Here is a 17475-nt window from a genome sequence, read left to right as displayed (position 1 = left end):
CTGACTGACTAAGTCCCCTCAGCTGGGACTTAGCTCTCCTCCATGTTGGTCTCTCATATTCCAGGAGTCTAGCTTGAGCTAGTTCTCAAAACAGCAATGGGTTTCCAAGAGAGAACATGGATGTGGATGAAGTTTCTGGAAGCCTGGCCCAAGAAATGGCACAATGTTACTTCTGCCACGTGCTATTGGTATAGCCAACCCAGATTTAAGGATTGGAAAATAATTTTGACCTTTTCATGGAAAAAGTATCAGAATCACCTTGCAAAGAAGTATGGATACAAGGAGGTGAATAACTGTGGCCATTTTTTCAATTAATCTACCACACCCTCCTTTTCTTCTACACTTCAAATCCTCAAGTACTCTATCATGTTACTTGTAGCCATAGTCAACAGGTAGTGTTTACCACTATACTTTCCAAGCAGTATTCTTCATACATACTTTACTCCAAGTCCCCTACAGGACTTGGTGATGTTAACTTTAACTGACATGTTCCTTTATAACAAATCTGGTCAGCCAGAAGATCTATTCATTCATGTAGAAATAGAGCCGCAGCCATTGTAAGTGGTTAGGTTAATTGGTTACAAAACAGTATTTATCTCAGTCATCGCACAACCCTGGCTGTACCATCAAATCAATTGCAGTGCTTTGAAAAGTACAAATGCCCACCCAGGACAATCAAATCAGAATATCTGAGGTTGGGGAGCCTGTATATATTTAACAGTTCCCCAGGCAATTCTACTGCACAGCTATATTTGAGAATGACTGATTTAACTATCAAGCCATCTATCCACTTTATATTGAATAGTGGTTCTCAGGATCGAGTGGGCATCAGAATCACTTGAAAAGCTTGTTAAATAGATTTCTGGGTTCCAAACGCAAGTCACTGATTCAGTAGATCTGTCTGGCATGAGGCCCATGTGTGATGAAGATGCTAGTTCAGGTATCATGCTTGGAGAACCACTGTCCTAAAGAAATAAGGTCCATTGGCATTTTTAAAAAGGCACCATCTCAGAGACGTATTTGTCCCTAATACTGCCAATAAGGCAGAAGTCTCTTTATTATAGACCTGTGGTAATTCCAGGAGAAGAAAATGATGGTTTATTTTACACCTCCCAATGTTTGCGTCCCACACCCAGAGTTTCTAATTAAATTGGTCTGGATTGAGGTGCAGGCATTACAGCCCTTAAAAGATTCCTCCAGTGAGTCCAGTGAGCTGCCAGGATTGAGAGCCACCCAGTGGTTTTCAAAGCATGGTCCCAAGATCAGCAGCATCAGCATCACCTAAGAACATGTTAAAAATGCAAATGTTTAGACTCCACTCGATATCTACTATATCAAAAATTACGGGAGTGGGGCCCAAAAATATTTAACAAGCTTTCCAGGTGATTCTGGTCAACACTGAGCTTGAGAAGCTCTGCACTAAAGTATACTAACATTACAAGGAGGCAATTAGTTTCTGCCAAGAAAGTGAGACAGATTCCAACCTCCGCAAGTGTTCTAAGAAAGTTGTGAGCTAGAGATTTCAGACCACAGAGAAGGGGTAAAATCTAAGAGAAGAAGAACCTCCAATTCACCTAGCCCAAAGAAGCATGCAATCAAGTACACATGCGGTCAGAATCCACCAGTGTCCCTGGGGCAGTGAGTTGACCAAACTGAAGGCTACAGGTGGTTTGTGTAGTGAAGTAGAGGGTCATCATCTTTCAATATCAGATCACAGTCTGTTCTATAATCTAAGAATTTCAAGAAGAGCTGGAAGGATGCATGATGAGACATTTCCAAATTCAGGTGAGGCAGCAAATGACCTTCAGACCCCCAGGTGTTAACTCCAGAGAGTTGGAAATAAAAGGATCATTGGTGGAGAGGTGAATTCTCCTGCCATAATAAAAAGGAGAAAGAAATGGCTCCTCGTAAGAATATGATATTTTCCCCTTTCCAAGAAAATAGATAATGCCAGGGTCACTATCTCCTTTCCTCATCCAACAAGCCTTATTGAGTGCTTCCCATGGACTAAGAATCATGTTAGTCATTGGGAATACATCTGTGAAAAAAACATAATCCCTGCCCCGAAGGAACTAGTCTAGTCAGGGAGGAAGAGTCAAAACCATCTACAAAGCCTGCATTACTTTAAGGTGTTTCATCATATTCAGGAAACCACATGTTTACTAGCATTGTCTTTAAAAGAAGGATTCTGTTCAGGTTTTGGTACCTAAAGCCTATTCCTCATCTCTCCTCCTCTCTGAGGTTCACCCAGGGAGCAACACACATGGACAATTACTAAAATGGGTAAAAGTGCTATGAGCATGTTGCCAGTGCTGCCCAATGCACAGTTCTCTGCTGGGAAAATGAATTGAAGGATCTGGATTCTTGGCCAATATGAGTGTTCCCATTCTATTTCCTTAAATCCAGAAATGATTATTTTTTCAAAAGAAGCACCAAGACAGTTAGCCAACCAGCTGTGGGACAAAAGGAGCTGAACGCTCGCACCACCCAGGGTGGAATGCTGGAAAATAAAACATCACCAGACTGGTCTAGACCACCCTTCCGAAGTTTAAGTCACTCTCTGTAGGCCAGGCTGCCACATGGGAAAAGAGCATAGAGGAAGTAGAAAAATGGCCTGTCAAGTCCAAGGAGTAAAACCATCTTTCTAAATCCATTCATAGGATTGAACTATGAGTGCATGCCTTTTAAAGCACAATGACTCTGCCCTGTAGTGACAAGTGTTCCAATCAGTATCTGGGGATATGAAAAATTAACTTTACTCCTCCTCCTCCTTAGAAAGGAGGTAGTAAGAGTAAAAAGGGAGCTGGATCTTACTCAAGGTATGAGGGTGGTGACCTTCCTCATTTTAAACAACTGAGCCCAATGATATAAAGCTGTATCAATCCATACATAGATTATTAGCCCAGAGCTCTTATCAAGAACTGGTAAACATCTCTATTTAATTACCTCATTGTTTAATTAATTGTATCCAATCTCTTTGTTTTAGTCACTATTTTCACACTGCTGACTCACAAATGTTTGTTTCCAGCCCATATCTCTATCCTAAACAACAACCTTCCATGACAAATTGCCTCTCCAATGCTTCAGTTGAATGTGTAATAGGCACCGTAAGCCTATGCAGTCTAGTTGTGAGCTTGGGATTCCTTCCCCTGGAGCCTTCTCCTTGATAAATACCAGTTCTGATCATCCTGTTGGCCTAGTGACTTCCCATGACATTTACCAAAGAATCCTAGGAGGTTCCACATGAGTGAATCCCATGACCTTGTGGATCTTAACCTCTAATGGTCTTCTCCTTTCTTAATCCCGTCCAGCCACAGTAAAGTCTTTCCTGTTTCTGGAACATGTCAACATACCCACCTTAGATCTTTGGTTCTTCCTTTTCCTCTTCTCCCACAGATGCACATCATTTCCTCCTTCACTACATTAAGTCTCAGCTCAAATGTCACCTCATTAGAAAAAGCCTTTCCTGAACATCCTATCTAAAATATCTCTTTCCTCAGTCTTCAGCCCCTCATCCTGATTTAGTTTCTTCATTATACTCATCAGCATATGACACATTACATGTACTTTTAAAATTGACTTACAGAGTGTTTCACTCAACCAGAAGATAAACTCCATGACAAGGGGGCTTTTCTGCTTTGTTCTTGTATCCCCAAGTGCCTTGAAGAGTGGCTAATATTTAGCAGATATTCAGTAAATACTTGTTAAGTAATTTGGTGATTGGTGTACCCATTACTTTGAAAATTGCATCTGTGGCATCTGAGAATGAGTCTTGAATGGAAGCAGGTTTCCTGTGTGCACACACCCTCCAGCTTCACACAGCAGGGAACACATAACGATTGAAGAGCCCTTCAGCCCTAGGGCTTTTACAAATTTTCAGCTCAGCCTATCATTATCATTTGCTCAGTTTTTCACTACACACTCACCTTTTTTCTGTCTCCCCAGTCTAAGAATGGTACCCATGTCTTTCAGTCTCCTGCCCCCTAATGAGACATGTGGTCTGGGAAATTACTGCCCTGCTACTTCCAGATGTGAGGTTCAGACTCTTCCACACATGGGAGACAGCATGAATGAGAAAATATTAGGTTATCTGGGACATTTTTATGGTCAGTGGGAAAACCATAACACTATAGTTAAAATTGGAACTGCCAAGGGAATACAGGTTGAATAATCATTATGACTCTAAGGAATAAATGTTTATTTCTACTGAAAGAAAATTGAATAAACTATTTTAAAACAACACTGCTAAAGACAGCTAATAAACTTGAGAAATCATGGATTTAAAGAAAAATTTCTAACAGTAGTTGACTGAAGGATATACAATTTTGGTCCATGTGGCTGCTTATTTAGGGCCTATTTTAGCTTCCCATTGGAAAAGTTGACTGATCTAATCAAGCTTCTTCAGAATTTCAGGGGATCTACAACGTTTTCAACTCTAATTTGACAATTCAAGTTTCTACTTAAATGAGAAAAGTATTTGCAAGCCACTGGAAATAGGTTTATAGGCTGCCCATGGGAATGAACCTCCCCAGGAATAAACAAAAATAGTAAATTCAAAAGCACTTTCTTTTTGCCATACCCTCTCAGTGCTTATCTTGTCACCCTCCCTGAGGTGACTCCAGCCTCACTTTTAAGACTGTACCCTTCATGCACTTCTGTCATTTGCTCAGTCTCCCATGCATAAAGAATGAGTACCAATGACACTAATCTCTAAGAAAGAAAAAATAATCCTATAGGCCTTCATTAGGGCCCCCTTTCCTTTAGACTGTCAAATCTAATCACCTCTCCCCTTCATTACTGCCTGTCGGAACAGTAAGTGATAACAAGTTTGATTTTCACCAAATACATTTAAATTTCACTCTCTGACATTTTAGTAGCAAGGGTCTGGGCAAAGGCCAGTTTTATCTACTAACACTTCCATCAAAGCATGAAGGCTCATCTCCAGTAAGAACTGAAGACATACATGCTTTACTGCCTTTTCCCTGATATAAAGACACCTGTTTTCTCACCTGAATTGTTTTTAGCAGGTCACAGACAGGAAAAACTCAAACTTTACCTGATTTCTACATGGAAGTTTCACGAAGTCTTTTCTATGTCATTCTTTGCTTCCAACTCCAAAACCTAAAACCTTTCTCGGGGATTTTTTTTTTTTCCACCAAAATAATAGCTACTTTTCCAGCACATTATGTCACAATCTACTGGAGGCTTTGAATTTATAGACTCTATGAACATCACAAAAGTCCCAAAAGTATGACCAGAAATCTAGGAGATCAATTATCTGTGTCCTCCAATTAATGGCCAACCAAGCAATATTTATTGAGCACCTACTATGTGCAAGGTTCTGGTAAAAGCAATTGTGGATGTTAGACACTGTGGAGAATTGTAAAACAGAAAGCTAGTGTTTCTTATTTCATTATAGCCACAACCTCAGACTGGCAATAAGCAAAGCTGTCATTTAGAAGGTGTGATATGAGCATTGGGGAAAAAACACTATGCAAAACTGCCTTCCATATCCATGTGGCAGAGGTTCAGAAATGCCAGGTAATTAGCTAAAGCTTCCACTTGGATCTTCTATAGATCTCACTTAAAACACCAGTGTCCCTGTGTGGAGGAACAGATGGAGCTAAATGACTCTAAGGTCCTTGTCAATCACAGACTTACATTTCCCTAATGAGAGAGATGGCCTTGAAAGTCCTGAGACTTTGGAAACAGCATGGGAGCCAATCCCTTCCTTTCCTCGCCTTTCAAGGGTAAGAAAGTAAAGATAGCCACTATCATGAGAACTGAAGCTATCCAAATGCAGCCTCATTTATATCAAATTGATACCTCCACACTATAGCTTCCTCCCAGAGCCACGTGTTACAAACATCCAGTCCAGGCTGAACTCAAGAGAGTTTTCTCCCCTTCCTCCCTCCCTCCCTCCCTCCCTTCCTCTGTCCCTCCCTCCCTCCCTTCCTTCCTTCCTTTCTTCCTTCCTTGCTTCTTTCCTTCCTTTCTCTCTCTTTCTTCTTTTTTCTTTCTCTTTCTCTCTCTCTCTTCCTCCCTCCCTCCTTCTCTTAACCTATTTTGAAAACAAACAAGATAACAGCTGTTTCAAACAGCACACTCTCTCTAGCCACCATCTACAGAGACACACTATAGTTTTCAATCATTGTAAAACCTAGTTCTCAGTTGACTCCTTTGTATCTTGATTTTCACAAACTTTTGATGTTCTTTCTTAAGAATAGCTCCATCTTTTTCTGGTTCACACAAGCCTATTGAGGTCACCCAACTTCAAAGTTCTTCTCTGTGGCTCAAATGGTGAAGTTCTGTGTGTGAGTGTCTTGGGGACACCTATGGAAGGAGGAATAATACTCTTCTGTAAGGCAATCTGGACCAACGACAATGCTGCGCTCTTTTTCTCATGAATACTAGAGGTGATTTCGACATCAGAGAGAGCCCGATAATGTCTCTAAAAAGCATCAGTGTTCTCTCAGTTGTTTCCCAGGTATCCTGTTGCAAGATCTAAAAGATCTCCAAACTGAATGCAGTTGCTCAGTTTGACATAGGTTGTGCCAGAAATGCTAATCGATTTCAGATACATTCCCTGGATAGCAATGGAAAGATTCTGTTTCAAATGTATTCGGCCAAAAGTTAGATGCAGAAATTCCTGTCTGTTTTGCACCAACTTTCCCTTCTCTTCCCTTTGCTTGGTGAGAACACAATATGTAACTTCCTGACATTGCCTCCTTAATGTACTCACACCTATTTGTGTGTACACACAAATCAGCTTGCATACAGCCATCTTGAACTCAGCATTTCAGCAATAACTCCTTTCTCTTGGATTTAGCCAACAGGTATCTCTAAAGTGATTCAAGAAACTGACTTCTCCGATACTCTTCCAAACCGGGCAAGTCTATCTGTACAAGTCATGAAGGAAAAAAGAAAGAAAAGGGTCATAGAAACAAGCTGTACATCTTTAAGAGAAGGATGAGCACAGCAGAATCAGGCAACCAAAAAGGCACTGCCTTGGAGCAGAAAGGAGAGTCATGGGGGCTGCCTTCAGGCCTAGAGTTGTGATAATGTCAGACAAAAACGATCTTCACAAACTCTCTTAAAGTTAAGACAGAGGGCATCTCCTTTTCATCTCTCAAAAGTGTTTTTAGCTGAAAGGCCAAGAGACCTCCTTCCATTTATATGATCAAAGCTTCACTTGCAGTTAGCATTGTTTGCTCATTTTATCATGTTTTATTACCAACCCCAGACAATGGTCTGGTGTAGAGGCTAAGTCAATTCAAATTCCAAATTCATCTCTTGCCAGCTGTGTGACCTCGGGAAAGTCACTTAACTTCTCTGTGCCTCAGTTTCTCATCTATAAAACAGGAATAATAAGAAGAGTACTTACCTCATGCCATGGCTTGAGTGCTAAATGTGATCATCTGGGAAAAGCATTTTGCAGAGTGCCTGGCAAATGATAAATGCTGAATACATTTTAGTTGTTACAATTATTCCCAAGGGGAGGACAGAAATAGTCAAAGCATGAAAGAAGCAAATCATCTTAGGCACTATTAATACAAACAGGTGCTTGCCTTGGTCTAGAGTGCTTTGGTCTGTCTCCTCAGAAGGCCAAACATGACAGTGGAGGAGGCTCCATCCGTGGCAGAGGATGCCCTCAAGAAGGCTTCAGAACAGCATGTGTTTGCATTGGCAGGCTGCTGACTAGCCCAGGCCTCTGGAAGGTCATGAGACCCACTTTGCAAAGTCGCTGCTATTTGCATTATTGAAAACATCTCAGAATTATAATAAATAAAATGCATTTTGCTTCCATAGTTTGAACTGATAATCTCATTGGCCAGGAGGCTGTCAGAGACGGAAGATTAGTGAGTGCCATGAGCATTCACTTAACAAAGTTGGGTTGTTGAAAGAAGACCTTCAGCAAGAAGCTCATTTCTTAACAATAAAACACTTTTAATTGGGACAAACAGTCACTTCCCAAAAGTCCTAAGTCCTGGCAGGGCACACTTACCACAGTTTGGTACCAGGAATGTTTTCCAGCGTCACCCACACACTAAAGAGACACCACAGGTCTCCGTCTGTTCTGTGGCTATACAAGATGGATTGACAAGGGTGGAAATTCTCAGACCTGCCAAGGGGGAAGGCAAGCACAAACACCAGGCTTGTATGAAACGATGGCAAGCCTGACAAGTCCCTGGAATTCATGCTAGCTGTGGTGCCAAGCTGTGGGGCCATGGCCTTCTGAACTGGTAAAGAAAGTAGGATGCCAGCAAGAAGTGGGCTCTTCTCATGCCAGCAACATAGCCCATGGTGGGGAGGCACAGCCCCAGAAACTCTGTTTTGAAAGTGGTGGAGGAAATTAGTCATGTGGCTTAACTGGGTGGAATTTATCACTGACCTAGAGATCAGTGCCTCAGGCGGCCAAGGAGGCAACAGTTTCAAGAACAAAATAGAGCAACTAAATATGAGGACTGAGAGGCAAAGACCTCGAGTCATAAGGCAAGGTTTCCCGTGTGCTAATATATAGGGAAGGCTCATGACAGACACGCTGGACTCTCCACAGCTTCACTGCCTCAAACTGGCACATCAAAGAGACGATGGAAGGTCCAGAAAAGGATTGTATTTGCACAGTTAATCAATCATGTCAGCACAGGAATCCATGCATCAAAGAGACAGAGAAGCAGACACATGTCTGTAGTGGGATTTCAGTCCATCACGACCTACGAGTGTGAGTTCATGAACATGCAAAAAATTATTCAACCAACAGTGTCTTTGAAGGAAGGAAACTTGAATGGAGAGTGTGGCAACAGGCCACAGAAGAAAAAGGACCATATAGGAATTTAGATTTGAATCTCAGATGATATCGATTTTTAATACTACACAGGGAAAGGATATTATTTGTTAACCCAGTGTCAACTGAAGCCCCTTTGATTATACCAAAGCTGTCCTGAGAACAGACATTCTTCACCTTTCATTTTCAGATTCTTAGGGTAGAACATTTACCATGGGTTCCAGTTTCTCTGCTCCCTATGGACATTGTCACATTGATTTGCCAAGTCCACTTTCTCTACCCCCTCCCTCACCTCCTTGACCACCACTACCTCCATCTTCACTGTCACCACTTCCATCACCACCACCTCCACTATCTCTACCACCTCTGTCTTCACCACCACAACCACCACCAACCACTGCCTTCACCCCCACCACCACTGCCATCACCTCCACCACCTTTACTTCCACCTCTACTATTATCAGCAGTCACTCTAGCACCTCCTCCACCACTATTTCCACCATAATCTCTACCTCCATTGTACTTCCACCATCATCTCTACCACTATCATCACCACCTCCATCTCCCCTTTATGTCAACCAGTACCACTCACTACCATCTCCACTTCCACAAGGTCCACCATTATTGTCACCTCTTTCACTTCCATCATTTTCTCCAAAACCAATTTCACTATCTCCACCACCACCACCTCTACCATCATCATCACCACCTCGCTATTATCTCTATCATCACCTCCACCAATTCTAGCAACACTTTCACTTCTGCTACCAATACCACTACCTCCACCACTATGTCCTGTACCAACTCCTCATCATCAGTCCTACTACTAACCCAACCATTCACCAGCATCAGAACCACATTCATGCCTCTTACCACCTCCTCCACTATTGTCGCCAGCTCTCGCATTATCACCTCCATCACTACATCACTTCTGCTACCACATGATTGTATCTATAAGCCAAGAGCTAAGTTAAATGCTATATAATCATTACCTTTATTTAATTCTCACAGAAACTCTATGAGGTGGATATTTTTACTCCCATTTTACATGAAAGTCAGAGAAGTCATACCACTTGCTCCAAATCACAAAGATAGGAAAAAGTAAAGCAATATCTCTATGCCAGAGGTTTCCAATTTCATTCTCCTATGTTCTACTGAAGAGTAAAGTACTTACAAACGAGGGAGTATGACTTCTCCTCAAGTCTGCAAGGGTACAATGGAATGTAACCAGTGTTAAGAGCAGAGATAGAAGTATGTGGCTCCTGAGTGACCATTCACCTCCTGTGCCAGTACAGACTCAGACTGTGTGTCAGGTAGCCTTATCAATACAAGCTGGCCTTGGAGATCAGAAAAATCTGTCACCCAGGGGTTTGGAGCTATCAAAAATCTCTAGTTGTGTAATAGTTAATATAAGTCTCTTCATTTATTTAAGCCAAAGCTTGGTTATTACAGTTAAACTAATAGACACTTTGAAATGGAAAGCATATTTCAGAAATCAAACGAAACAAAACATCAAAATACATATGTTGAGTGTTGAAATGTATCTGTAATCCATATACTGGATTTTGAAAATTCATAGCTCATTTCCTCACTATGTTGTGGTCTTAGTTAATATCACTTTAGAATATCTTTTTAAATTACAAGAAAGGGAAGCATCACCAGTGTTTGCTTATCCCATATTATTGAACCAATTTTAGGAATTACAAAACAAAAGGTATCATGTATCTTAGCTATGGTGACAGTATATCTTGCCAATGATAAACCATTCCCATAATCTATACTCGAACACCCAGTCAGAGTCACCACATGACGTAGTGGAAATAATCTAAACTTTGGAATCAAGCAGAATTGAATTCTTGTCAAAGTTTTACTGCTTATTAGATCTATTATTCTGGGCAGTTTATTTAACCCAGTTTCCCAGCTGGTGAGCTGAGGCCCGCTGTGCCACATATCAGTTCCAGGTGTGCCAATACACTGATGCCCCCAGCCATAAGAACAAATTGGTGTGTCTTGGGACCCACACCCTCAGGCCAGTGGTAGCCTCCTTCAGGAGAACTAGGATCATGTTCCATGTGTATGTCGACCTGGAAAACCCTCAGAAGTACTGATAACCTCAAAACCTAGCGCCCTCTCTCTGTGAGTCTGTGAGGTGGGATAAAGGCACCCAACTCAGAGGACTACTGTTAGGATTCATGAGGTATCACAGGAAAACTGCCTAGCTCAGAAGCCTATGCATAGTTGATGCTCAAAAAAAAATCTTTTTTCCAATATTAACCTCTGCTCCTGGTTGACTTTTACCATAATTTCTTATATTACAATCAGCTCATCAAGAAATAAAACAGCCTCACCCTGGGTGTTGAAGATGGTAAATAGACTGCACAGTTTTTGCTACTGGCTAGAAAATGATCGGTTTTGCATCTACTGCATACAAAGCACAGCTTGGCTAAGGGTACAGGGGATGTCACCATATGCACTCTCCTGCCTGCAAGTTCTTACCAATATGTGAATGACTTCAAAATTTACAGCTCTATTCTCTATTTCACGACTGAGCTCCACACCTAAATTTCAAATTTCTTTCTAGACACAGCCACATAGAAGACCAGTTAGCATCGCAACTCTTCCACGGACCACCAATCCCCACCAAGCCTGCTTTCTTTATGTCTGTCATCCTGACTAATGGCACCACCATCCCACTGGTTTCCCAGGAGTACGACTTCTATCTTCACCCTTCACCACACCATAGACCCTTTAAAAATGCCACCAGAGCCAACTCCTGGGGTTCTCCTTTTAAAATACCTCAAGCATCCTTTATACCCCAACTGCTGTGCTTCACTCTCACATTATTTTTCTCTGGCCTATTATATCAGCCTTTTCAATGGTCATCCTGTCTCAACTGTGACTTGATTCCAATTAATCTTATAGTCTTTACTCTCATTTGATCTCAATTAATTCTATAGTCTGTTCAGCATTTAATGGTTTGTAACAAAGGAATCATCCTAAAGCATAAAACTAATTGTGTGTTGCGTTTGAACATAATTCTTTGCTCTTCCTTATGTCCACATCCTTTAAATTATAACTTTGCAGCTCCTCCATTAAGAGAGAAAGGCTCTTTTGCCATCTATTGAATATTCACTGGTCTTGTGACTTGCTTTGCCCAAAAAAATAAGTATGGCAAAAATGTCAGTGAGTGGGTTCTAACTCTGGACATTAAAAGACCTTGCTCACTTCCACTCTCTTTTGAAATCCTTAAATCTCCAAGTGAATAACCCATACTACCTACTGAAAGATACAAAACTACAGAGCATAGAGAAACGTTTTACTAGCTGATGCCATTCTAGACCATCCTACCCCCAGCCAACCTAGCAGCTGACCACAGATAGATGAACAAACTGAGCCAAGACCAGAAGACCAGAAAAGCCACCCAGCAGAGCCCAGCCCAAATGGTTAGCACTCAGAATCAGGAGCCTGATAACCGATTCTTGTTTTAAGCCACTCATTTATTTTGGGCTGTTAGTTGAGCAGCAAAAGCTAACTGATGCATTTATTCCCTTTGGCCTTGAGCTTGTGACATCTCTCCACTGAGATGAAAACAGACTAAAATCAGTCTGATTTTCAAAATACCCCACCTCAACCCAAAGTATATCCAAATTTATTTTTCAAGATTTATCTCCTGCTATGATTTGGATATGGTTTGTTTGTCCCCACCAAGACTCATGTTGAAATTTTATCTCCAATGTGTTGGTATTGAGAGGTGGGGCCCAATAGGAGGTGTTTGGGTCATAAGGTGACTTTGCCCTCATGAGTGGCTTGGCACCACTCTTATGGTGAGGTTTTGCTCTTATAAGACTGGATTAACTCTCTCAGGAATGTTTCTGCGAGAATGGGTGTTTATAAAATTAGAAGGCCCCATGGGTTTTGCCTCTTCACACATGTTTTTCCCCCTTTGGCCTTCTCTGCCATGTTTTGACTTGTGTGTGTTGCCAAGCAAGACCCTCATCGGAAGCCAAACAGATGCCACCACCATGCTTCTCATACTTCCCAGCCTGTAGAATTGTGAGCTAAATAAACCTTTTTTCTTTATGAATTACCCAATCTCAGGTATTTCATTATAGTAACACTAAATAGACATATTCTGTTTTTCCATTCCTTCTCCTACACAGCCATTATTAAACTAATTGCCAAATTTCAATCATTTTCCCCATAACCTTCTCAATTTTTGCATATTTGTTTATCCCTATTATTACAGGTTGAGCATCCCTAATCCAAAAATTCAAAATTCAAAATGTTCCAAAATCTGTAACTTTTTGAGCACCAACATGCCACCATAAGCGGAAAATTCCACACTGGCCTCAAGCGGAAAATTCCACACTGACCTCATGTGATGGGTCACAGCCAAAACTTTGTTTGATGCACAAACATATTTAAAATATTGTATAAAATTTCCTTCAGGCACTGGGAATAAGTTGTATATGAAACATAAACAAATTTTGTATTTAGACTTGAATCTCATCCCCAACATATCTCATCATGTATTTACAAATACTATAAAATTTGAAAAAATTCAAAATCTGAAACATTTCTAGTCCCAACGATTTCAGATAGTCAGCCTGTATTAATTTATTAATTTAACATTTTTTTACTGATTCCCATTACTTTTTTTTTTTTTTTTTTTTTTTTTGCTGGAGCAGGAAAGGGAGAAGAGAGATTCCATATTCTTACTTAAGCTTTTCTCTATACCATGCTAAGCAACCATAACTTTGATAGGCTAGTCACATTTTTGAACATATTAAAAAATTCTTAACTATAAAAATAAAAATATAAACATTAAAATTAAAAAAAGATGCCTATCCATGTCTTAGACAGTACTTTCCAGAACATAACAAGCATTCTGCATTCTCTCAGAATTTTTAAAAATGTGTTTGGTTCTCCGTTTAGATTGTGACCCAGTGTATGACAGAGACCATTTATAATTTTGTGCCCAATCAGTTATTAAATGTCTCTGAACTTCAGGTGGAGCCATAGTTTTAAGAACCTTGAAATAAAAATCAAGAAATTTGACTCCTGTGGGAACTTCTGCATCATGGATATAACAGAGTAAATGTTAGGAAAGACTACAAACAAAGAGATCAATTAGGAAACAATGTCATTAGTCTAGGAAAGAGTCTAAAGTGAGTGGTAAATGAGAATTAAAAAAAGAAAAAAAAAGGAAAAGTACCCTGTCTTGAATTGAACTAGGCAGGGGAAGAAAAAGTGACTTGTGATTGTTCTGAAAACAGGTCAGGGAAGGAAATTATGTGTGAAAGACAGTACAGGTAATTCTAGATATTGTTGAGTTAAAGGAAAGAAAATCATGAAGGAGCTCAAGATCATTCCAAAATTTTGGTTGTGAAAAATACACTAGTGAAGTTAAAAGGAACAACAGATTGAGTAGACATTAAGGTGTTAAAGAGGTCAACAATGGTGAAGAGCTGTGTTTCATTTTAGATGTAATTTTTATGCTAGGATTTAATCCCAGTATTTAACCCGCAAGAAGATGAAGAAAGTAGTTTTTGAGGAGCATTGTCAGGGCAACTCCAAGAAGATATATTTTGCTAGGATGGTACGCCAAGTGATCCTGGTCTGATTTTGTTTTTCTTGTGAAATGATTTTGCATTTCTTCTTCAGCATCTTCAGCTTTTCATTGAAAGACTAGTTTTGTTTCTTGCTTCATTTTTGTTTATATTTAATCCATGACAGATCTATAAGCAAGAAATATATATGTTACTGATGTTTGTTCATGGAAGCCACTGAGAATCTGAGGTTGTTTGTTACACCGTATTATTGTAGCAAAATCAGATTAATACACTACCTCTGGAAGAAAATAACATTTGCTTGAGTATGAGTATAAGAAAAAGGAGAAAGGGCTGGGCACGGTGGCTCACGCCTGTAATCCCAGCACTTTGGGAGGCTGAGGAGGGCGGATCACCTGAGGTCAGGAGTTCAAGACCAGCCTGACCAATATGGTGAAAGCCCATCTCTACTAAAAATACAAAAATTAACTGGGCGTGGTGGCAGATGCCTGTAATCCCAGCTACTCGGGATGCCGAGACAGAATTGCTTGAACCTGGGAGGCAGAGGTTACAGTGAACAGAGATCGTGCACTGCACTCCAGCCTGGGCAACAAAGCAAGACTCCATCAAAAAGAAAAGAAAAAAGAAAAGAAAAGAAAAGAAAAGAAAAGAAAAGAAAAGAAAAAGGAAAAAGGAGAAGGAAGTCAAAATTTATTCTGAAATATAAAACTGGGTGACTGAGAATGAAAATATCACTTCTATTGTATACTTACGTACTGCCATGTTAAAGACGTGAAAGAAAAGATTCATATCTTTCTTTTATTAATTTTCTATGTATAGTTTTTTTATTTTTATGCATTTATAATAGTAAATAGCAGTACTGTTTTTGGAGGTTTCTGAATATATTGTGGGTCACATACCCTGCAGAGACTAAGATGAAAACCATATATGTTTTCTCCGGGGAAAAAAGATCAACAAATTACCTTTTATAAATCATCTCCTCACAAACCTAATCTGAAAAGAGAGTTAAAAAGGAGATAAAGAGGGAAGGCTTGTGACGATATTCTCCCTACTGAATGTTGGAACTTTCTTTACCTTTCCACATGTCCTCTGTCTGTCTTTAGATTGTGATCAAAGAAGAGTAGGTCTCCTTCTGTATTCTGAACAGGGCTATAAAAAGTGTCTTCATCACAGTTTGAAAAATGCCAACCAAGATCACTGTTTGAGAGATGAGTTAAGATATATAAAGCATTGTATCTAAAGTGAGCAGTGTGTATAAAATGGCACTCATTAATTTTCAAAGCATTGTATCTAAAGTGAGTAGTGTATATATAATGGCACTCCTTAATTTTCAATCTATTCATTAAAAAGTATATCAGAGGAAAAAGAAAAATTAAATTAACTTACTTTCCTCAAAATTGGAATACAGAAAAATATTATTTAATGGAAAAAATGTATTTGATATAAACTTACAGAAGTATGTCCATTCCAGATTAGCAATTATCTCTCCAAGACTACTCATGAAAGGGGCAAATTGGAGCCAGTATTAAAGGTATGATGATTTGTTTCCTTCAACTAATAAGACCCCAGGGCCTCCCACAGGACTCCTTGCAGCCTTCTCCCTCAAACCTTTCAAAACACAGAGTATAATATTAGGCACACCTGAAAGGAACAAAAAAAAACTGAGCCAAAGCAAGATAAAGGGAATATGTATACAAATATCTCAGCAGTTTCCAGGTTGACCCCATCCAACAAGTTTCCACTTGTTCTTTTGACCCTGGGAATCTACTTATAATAATTTTTACTTGAAAGGTGGGAGTTACATTTGAAGCAATATGAGAAAATTCTCAAAGCAGCAAAAATAAAATTGTTCTTTGCCTTGGCCGGCCATAATTACTTCATTGCTATGACATATGACATCATAGTTAGTCCTCAGGCTCGGGGGTGTTTCTAATGAGCTGGAGTTGGAAGGGTCCCAGTGGAATGCAGTGAACCAAAAGACCCACTGTTCTTCCAAATTCCAACATGATATCAGGAGGGAAAACAAAGGGCTCTTCAAGATTCAGAGGTCAACCTGTTCAGCATCGCATCAAAAGGTGGCAATAAGGCAAAAGGAGGTTTCAGGGCATAGGAAAAGGCCACTGTCACCTATTTCTACATCTAATTCAACAACAATGATACTGAATATGAATATTTTCAGTAATTTATGAGACCAAATTTGAGTATTTTGAAAATATTCTGTTAACTTGATATGTTATCACATTGGATCCTTGCCACAGGACTGTGTCCAAGGGAAAATTATTGGTTGCCAGTGCATACATACTATTTTAAATAAATGACTTTGTAATGAAAAATTTAAAACTATACATAGGGAAATAATGAAAACAGTGACAAATATGTTTATCCAGCACATGAGCGAGGTCCTTTTCTGCTCCCTTAGCACAAAGGACCCTCAGAGGTGCAGCCACCTTCCCGGGGGCCCATATGAGCCATTCACCATATACTCCCTTCTGGGAATATGTCTAATGATTTAGCCAATTTATCAGCAAGACAGCCCAGTGGCTAATGCCAGCATCAACTCACCAGAGGTCACAGAAGCTAACAGAAGCCTCTTCCATAGGGCAAAAGTCTTTGAAATGGACATGAGTATCTCTTTCCTAGTCCTGTCACTGGCCCCCAGTGCCCAGCTGGTTTAGGGTACTTAGACAAACTTCTTGCCTTAGAAATCTCCAAACAAAAATGACCAATAGTATTCAGTTTTTTAAAAGACTCACACATTTCAGGACAGACTGATTCAACACATACCCTGCTACAAGAAGGTTGGAGCAAAGAGGAGATATATACTTCCTCTGGACTTCTCAGACATGCTATAAATGTTTTTTGGCAAATCCCAAGATGAGATCACAATTATGGTGGAAGAGTTTAGTACAATTACCTAAAAAATTTTTTTAAAAAGTAGAAAAATATAACTAGAAATATAAAAGATTTGAATAAATAACAGCTTTGACATAATATATCTGAATAAAGACTTTTATAGCCAACAAACATAGACTATATATCATTTTATTGTTATATAGTGAAAAATTTTCAAACACATGAAAGTATAGAGCACAGGATAGTGAAATTTCAATGTGCCCATTA

The 17475-nt window shown here is 39.8% G+C and overlaps 1 long non-coding RNA gene across 1 annotated transcript; it reads right to left on the bottom strand.

The window, feature by feature from the left end:
* Positions 1-14347: 14347 nt before the first annotated feature.
* On the bottom strand, positions 14348-17170 carry LINC02871 (long intergenic non-protein coding RNA 2871). The gene is made up of 4 exons (NR_146878.1): positions 17140-17170; positions 15808-15963; positions 15430-15552; positions 14348-14523 (listed from the first exon to the last, which is right to left on the bottom strand). It is a non-coding gene; the product is annotated as a long intergenic non-protein coding RNA 2871 (long non-coding RNA).
* Positions 17171-17475: the final 305 nt, after the last annotated feature.

Source organism: Homo sapiens, chromosome 20, assembly GCF_000001405.40.
Source record: "Homo sapiens chromosome 20, GRCh38.p14 Primary Assembly".
Taxonomy (NCBI): domain Eukaryota; kingdom Metazoa; phylum Chordata; class Mammalia; order Primates; family Hominidae; genus Homo; species Homo sapiens.
The sequence above is the reverse complement of the archived record's forward strand: the minus strand, read 5'-3'. Positions and strand labels throughout refer to the sequence as shown.